General features: G+C 38.5%; 1 annotated feature.

The window, feature by feature from the left end:
- Window positions 4205-5404: an enhancer, noted in NCBI's record as "P300/CBP strongly-dependent group 1 enhancer chr5:56662505-56663704 (GRCh37/hg19 assembly coordinates)". NCBI's record gives its function as "activates an origin of replication core promoter dependent on BRD2, BRD4, P300/CBP, MED14 and CDK7 cofactors, with strong dependence on P300/CBP, by STARR-seq in HCT116 cells {active_cell/tissue: HCT116}" and the evidence as "EXISTENCE:reporter gene assay evidence [ECO:0000049][PMID:35650434]".

A 7240-nucleotide genomic window follows, 5' to 3' on the forward strand; every position in this document is an offset into this window, starting at 1 on the left:
GAGTGAGACCCTGTCTCAAAAAAAAAAAAAAAAAAAAAAAAGTATGTCCCTTTGGATGGCTGTGGGGTAGTGAGAGAAACGATCTTTATGAGGGTGGGAGAGTTCAGTAGAACCAATTAGAAATTGCTTGGTCTAATTTGAGGGCCCTTCTCTCCACTAGAGCCAGGTTGCTTTGCCTTAGCCAAAAAAGAGTCTGCTTTTTTCCCCCTCTATGGTTGGCTAGGAAAGTTCACTGCTTTCTGGATCTGGATGGAATAAATAAAACAAATTCACCTTTCCTCTTATGTAAGATCCTTGTTCAGAACTCAATTTTTCACTTATTTCATATTTCCCCCTTTCTATCATTCTCCCTTAGAAACTTGTTGCAAAACTAACATGCTTATTATGTGCAGGTGATAAAATTATTGATGTTCCTAATAAGGCACTCTTAGTCTGTAAGACATACAGGACATTTCTTTTAAGATTTGTATGCATGATAGACTTTAGTCGTTTGGCACATCAAAACGTTATAGGAGGGGGAGAAGAGACGCACCTGGATGGTTATAATCGTCTGCAGGGTGATCCAGGTTCTCAGACCTTGTGAATTTGTTGTGGTCCATCATGTGTGAATTTGGTTAGCACCTCATTAATTTATTAAAGCCAAAGAACAAAAAACCAAATAAAATAATGGCTGTGTTCCCGGAAAAATTTTCCACAGATGGCTAAGTGAGTCTAGTAAACAAAATAAAACAAAACAAAAATCAAGGGTATCATTTGACTTGTCTGTTGATAGTAGCCTCTAAAATTTTATATTTCCTCTTTAATGCTTTGGAGATAGAATGAATAACCAGCCAATGTTTCAGAATGAATAACCAGCCAATGTTTCAGTAATGCTCAGTATTGGTTTTAGCAGTCGTCAAAGTAGCCATTTTGTGGTAATGGACAACCAGGAGACTTTACTGGGTTTTGTCTGCTCAAAGCCACAGTGGCTTCTTCTGGGGAGATTTTACCTGATGACCACCTGGGTAGAAGTGATTTCAAGATGGTGACATGTAAGCTTCCGTGTAAAGGGTAAATATTGATATTTTTCTTGCAGTGAACAACTTAGTGGCTTGTTTTAAAAATTATGAATTTTTTGTACATACAAGAAAATATTGATAATATAAAGACTAGCAAAATAGCACTCATGTATTCAATATTCAGCATAAAAACTAGAACATTACTGATAAGAATTAGCTCCTTCCATGTCAATTTTTCACCCCAATCTCATTTCTTTTCCATTCCACACACCTCCCCAGGAGACCACTATCCTCAAGTCTGTATTTATTATTACATCGATTTTCTTTATATTTTCCCACATATGTATCATTTGTAAACAATATATTATTTAGTTTTGCATTTAAAAAGTTTTATACAACAATATCTATTTTCTATAATTTTCTTTCCCACCTCTCGATACAATGTTTGTCAGATGGTGTTTGTTGATCATTCTGGGATGTGTACATCAAGGGCTATGAACTCCATGGAGAGGGCCAGAAGCAGATACACAGATGACTGAAGTTTTGGAAAACAGAATCTAGGAGAAAAGAATAAAGGTATTGGACTGATATATATGCAAACTAAAAGGTGGTTGGCAAGATATGTGTGTGTGTGTGTCTATACATAACAAGTGCTTTTATAATGGATTGTTTTAGTTTTAAAATGATTTTACTCTTGATCTGTATTAAATCAAGTCAACTCATGTAGTATCCTAGCAAATACTCTATCTCAAGTAATATTCAAGACTATAGATCTTCTGAATCACACTCAAGAAGCTGACGATATGCATTTGGCAGTTTCCAAGAAACAGTGGTCAAACTATAATAAAATTTTAATGTATCAGTTAATATTTACCGAGCACCCCTCTTGCAGCTAGCATTGGACTAGGTGCTTAAGGACAAGTAGTTTGACTCAATAAATTAAAAAAATACACACTTAAGGTTTATTCTTTACAGATTCATGGTAGTTTTATTTAAGTTTCTACTGCTGAGAAATGTGAGGTTTTGTTGTTGCTCTTTCAGTCCCCAAAACTCCATTTTGAGTTCTCCAGGCTTTGGTGGAATTTCAGGTATTATCAGATCTGGTGGGTGGGACCTGTTTACCAATTCAGCCCCTTGTGCACATGGCCAGGAGGCTGGCTGCAAGCATTTTCAGATGGACAGAGACATGCCTCAGGCATTGTCAGTGGGTGTGAAATGCACAGGAGCTGGGCAGCAGGCCAGAGGGTGGGTGGAAGTTTGTAACTGATTATTATAAGACTCTGAATTCAAGCAGACCTAGATTCAAATCCTACTTTCACCACTGCAGGGGAATTCTACATATATATATATATATATATATATATATATATATATATATATATATATATATATATATATATAATTTTGCCTCTGGAAAAAGTAGGGTGAAAATCATTCTGAAAAAGTTTAGGTTAAGATATTGAGTATGGTTTGGATTTGAGTGGTTTATTTTGAATAAATTAAATCTCACCTACCTCACAGAATCTGTTGTGGAAAGATTGTTCAGAATGAAAATATTTTGTCCTGGGGTCTTGGTAGGATGTTTGGGGCGAGGTGAGGTGGGCACAAGTGGTGGGATGAAACATTAAATACATTTCCTTCCCTTTTTCTCCTTTGACTTCTTTCTTTTTTAAATGCGTCTAGTAATAAGAGCTCGATTCAACTGGACTTGGTGGATGAGTTAAGGAAAATCTGGATGTGCCCCAGTTCATGTTTCTCTGGCTAGTTCATTGATTTCATTTACAGGAACCACATACTCACCATGTGATCCTTGTCAAGTGTCTTGCCTTTTCAAAGACTTAGTTTTGTCATCTGTAACATGGAGATCTTATCTGAATTGTTACCGTGACAAATGAGATGATACATGTGAAAATGCTTTGTCCATAGTTGGGCTATTATTACTATTATTATTATTTCTATGACTTATTTTAAAGTCTCAATTCAGGAGTCATTGAACTATGGAAGTCTTCCCTGACTTTTCTCTGTCCCCCATTGGGACAGATCGTCTTCTCAAATCTTTTATGTGATGTGTCTTTTAAGCACTTAGTGGGTTGTTTTTTAATTTTTATTTTTTTACATTCATTGTTTATGTCATTTGTAGTGCAAAGCTTGCTTACTGGTTGTCTTTCTCACCAGACTGTGAGTTCCTTGAAGGGAGCAATAGTACCCAATCCCATATCCAGGATATCAAGCTACTCAATAGTTTTTGCTGCATGAATGATAAAAACTAATATTCTGTAAGATATGAATATTATATTTACTAAATATGAACTCAAAAGATGCTCTCATTTTCAAATAATTTATGAGTGGCAGTTTGTTAACATTTATTTAGGGTCTATGTGGTTATTTATTTATTTTTAGATATAGGGTCTCACTATGCTGTCCAGGCTAGCCTCAAACTCCTGGGCTCAAGTTATCTTCCCACCTCAGCCTCCAGAGTAGCTGGGATTACTGGTGCATGCCACCAATCCTGGCTTATGAGCTGTTAACTCTCCTAAACACTGGAACCAGAGAGCATCAGGCCACACAGTAGCCTTGCATCATCATGAATGGGGAGTCAAAATAAGACACAGAATACAACACTGGGACAATATATATCACCCTCAAAGAGTGGCTAATGCACAACAATGAAAACAACAAATTAGGGCTCAAAATACTCTTCAAGTGAAAACATCTATCTGCATTTTCTAAAAGTCTGAAAGTTTTAAAACTTGTATTATTAGTTTAATTGAGAATCTGTTAAACAAATCTGGGGGAATCATTCTCATCTCTGATGAATTGCTTCTATGATCCCCAATCCAACAGGATAGCTGTAGATAGGAGGAAAATGCTTACCAAAAGAAGGCATTTTAAAACCCATTTTTGGCCACCCTTTTCACAAGTGCTTAGACTCTTCCTTTTTAAAGAACAAAGACCTGAAGCTCAAGGTGGTTCACAAATTTATCCAAGAAAATTTTCAGAGTGGCAAATTATAGTTTCAGGTTTTACATTATTTTTCTTAATTTGATTAAAAAGTTCCAGTCTGTTCTAATGTTCCTGGGCCCCCAGGCATGATGGCCCTTGGAGGGTCCTGGAGCATCTGCATCTGGTGTTATTAGCGGGGTAAGATACTCTAGGCCATAAGTCACAGTTAAAATGTTCCTTACAATTAGAAACTGCCTTTGTGTGATTTTTTTGGGGGGGTTTAACCGAATGGCCCTGGAATATGGGTCCACTCTCCCTTTTGGATTGATTTTCTCTGTTTGAGCCTGATAACTGTCTTGAGCAGGAAGAGGAGGAAGGGGAACCAGCCACCTGTAGAAATGAGTTTAGGTCCTATTTACATAGCAGGTCAACAGCATGAAGTCCAAGGGGAACTCTAGCAGGGTCAGTGAGATAGGTGGAGAACCTAGCTGGTCTGTTTGTTTTTCCACAAAACATTCCAGGAGCAAGACAACATCCGCTGAGGAACAGCATTAATAAGTGGCATCTTTCATCAGAAGCACTCAAAGCATTCATGAAGACTTACTCATTGAGCTGTGAGCCACACCTATGTTGTATCTGTGGCTCACTTAAAGATTAAGAAACCAAATTCCTCCAAGTTTGACCCTGTGGCTGAAAGGGAGGCTGGGGAATGAACAGACACAGACCCCAGGTTCCATATCTCACTCCAAATTAACCTGGCATAGAATGGGATGTCGAGAAATGACAGTGAGCACCATTGTTATCACTATGACATCAATTGACCCTTATTTTTGGGTATGAGGATTCTACACAGTGAGGAGGCAGAGTTTCTGCTATAGGAGCTTCTGATCAGTTTGGGAGTTTTGTCTCATGTGCAAAAACCGAGAAGTACGTGAATCTACCCTATGTTAGGTGCCAAATACAAAAATAAAGATAGGAAGTTCAGAGGTGGAGCCACCACCCAGGCTGTGGTGGGCAGTGGAAACTTCACAGAAAAAGACCTTGAGTTGGACTTTGAAGAAAGATAGGATTCGTGCATGCAGGAGGTGTGGGAATGTGATTTTCAGTCTGAAAGACAGGAAGGAGATTGGGGAATGCATGGAGTAATTGGGGGTACTAGAGACACCAAACTGTGGTGGACCAGCTGGGTGGAAGATCCCCTGCAGGGATCCGTGGAGTGTCAACCTCACCGGTTTTTAGAGTCTGTGACCAAGGGAACAAGTTCCCTTTTGTCTGAATTCTGTGACATTTAATTTGCTTCAGTCAGAGGTAAACATCTGACCCTGCCTGGCAATCCCTTCCTAGGTTGTTATGATGACCAGTCAGAGGTTCAATTTTGCCACCCAATTTCTTACTGATCAGAATTCCAACTAGAGATGTAGTTCCCTCACTGTTTCCTCCTTCTGAACAGTGAAATTGTTCTTGCCTGCAAGAAGTAGCCTGAAGCAAACTGGGACAGTACAGTTTGTGAAAATCAAAAGAAGAAAGGATATTAAAAAGGAGAGAATGGTCAACAGTTTTCATGGATGTGGAGAAATCAGGGAGAATCAGGTTAGATGTGTCTAATCTTCTATGGTCAGTAAAGTAGAACCACATATTAGCTTCTTCTTGGATTAAGGGAGAGCAGATACTGTGAGTCAGCCATTGCCAGCTCTCCTTCACAAGCTTGAATACACTCTCCTATGATTCCTGTTTATGTGATTAAGACATTTAACTATCATCTAGACATATGTTAAAAATTAAACTCAGCTGTGATTTTCCCTCCCCCGAGATGCATAAAACTGGTGTATGTGTTCTGTAGGATTTTATTATGTTAAAGCATTACTGCCGCCTCTTATTAAAATTGAGTGCCTTATTTTGATATTAGGCAGAGGAGTTTGACGGATGTTAACATTCTAAGAGAAATTTGTGGGAAACAATTTTGAGGTTGAAATATTGATGCAACTGATACTAATTGCTAACATCCCAGTAAAGCTCTTAAGAATCTATTTGTATGGAAATTGAAAAGGACCATCAAATGGAAGAAAGACCCAATTTATTTGGAAGTTTTAGAAAGTCCAGTAATAAAGAAATGATTTGATAAGGGAAGTAGAAGAAAGGCAAAATGAGCAGATTACTTTGAAAATATTAAATTGTAATAGAAAAACATTAAAGAAAAAAATGATACAAATCCTACCACAGTATCATAGCAATTATTCTTATCTTTTGAATTTTTAAAAAAGAGATGGTGTTTTACTCTCTTACCCAGGCTGGAGTGCAGTGGTGCAATCATCACTCACTGCGGTCTTGAACTCCTGTGCTCAAGTGATCCTCCCATCTCAGCCTCCCAAGTAGCTGGGGCTACAGGCACTCGCCACCACACCTGGCTGACAGCAATTATTTTTGCTTTTTGAAAGTATCCTGTCCTTGCCTTACCAAGTTTTAAATCCAAATCTTGCATTTTTCAGAAACACTGTTGCAACATGGGAGACAAAATGAAGTATTTTGCATCATTTTATGCTGCGTGACTTCAGGCATGCCTAACACATGTCACTATTCCTACTTAGTCTTCATGATTATCTTTTGAAATTACTCTATAATATTTCAGTAGGGGTTTCTTCTCGTTTCTTGCATCTGGCCACTGACTTCTGATTCTCTCTGGATGGTTATCATCTTGCAGTCTAGAGGTAGAGGCAGTGGGAACTTTGTTTAGGATCTTGAAGATACTTGCTTGTAGATGTTCTTGCCAGGGGTACGCTGTCACTGGGTGTCTCATGCCATCCTCAGGCTGGGGGTGATAAAGGAACAAGAGGAGCAGCGCTGTAGAGTGGGAGAGAAGGGGGAGAGGTGGAAGGCTGGGGTAGATGACTTCCCCACCCAGCCCTGCCCTGACTCTTTCTTCCTTGGCTTTCTCCTTCTGCCCATATACAGTCCTTCTCTGCCTCCATCATAGCTTATCCTCTCTTTTGTTCCGGTTCCTTCTTCTGCCTCTCTCTCCAGGGACCTCCCCTGAGCTTGCTGTAGTTTAGAGATTCTCAACCCTGTCAATGCCTACCCTTTAAAACATATTTTGTAATGACCCCTTTATCCTGAAATGAAATTTGTAGGTTATAGATTCTCAACACATATAATTTAAAAATTAATCTAATAGTCTAGTTGTAATATAAAGAAGAAACAAAAGGAAACCACTGTAAAATAAAATGATGTAAATGCTCAGGCACAGCTGTATTAGAAGTCATATAGAAGGAAACAGATGTTGGCACATAATGAATACGCTTGTC

This window comes from Homo sapiens, chromosome 5 (genome assembly GCF_000001405.40).
Source record: "Homo sapiens chromosome 5, GRCh38.p14 Primary Assembly".
Classification (NCBI taxonomy): domain Eukaryota; kingdom Metazoa; phylum Chordata; class Mammalia; order Primates; family Hominidae; genus Homo; species Homo sapiens.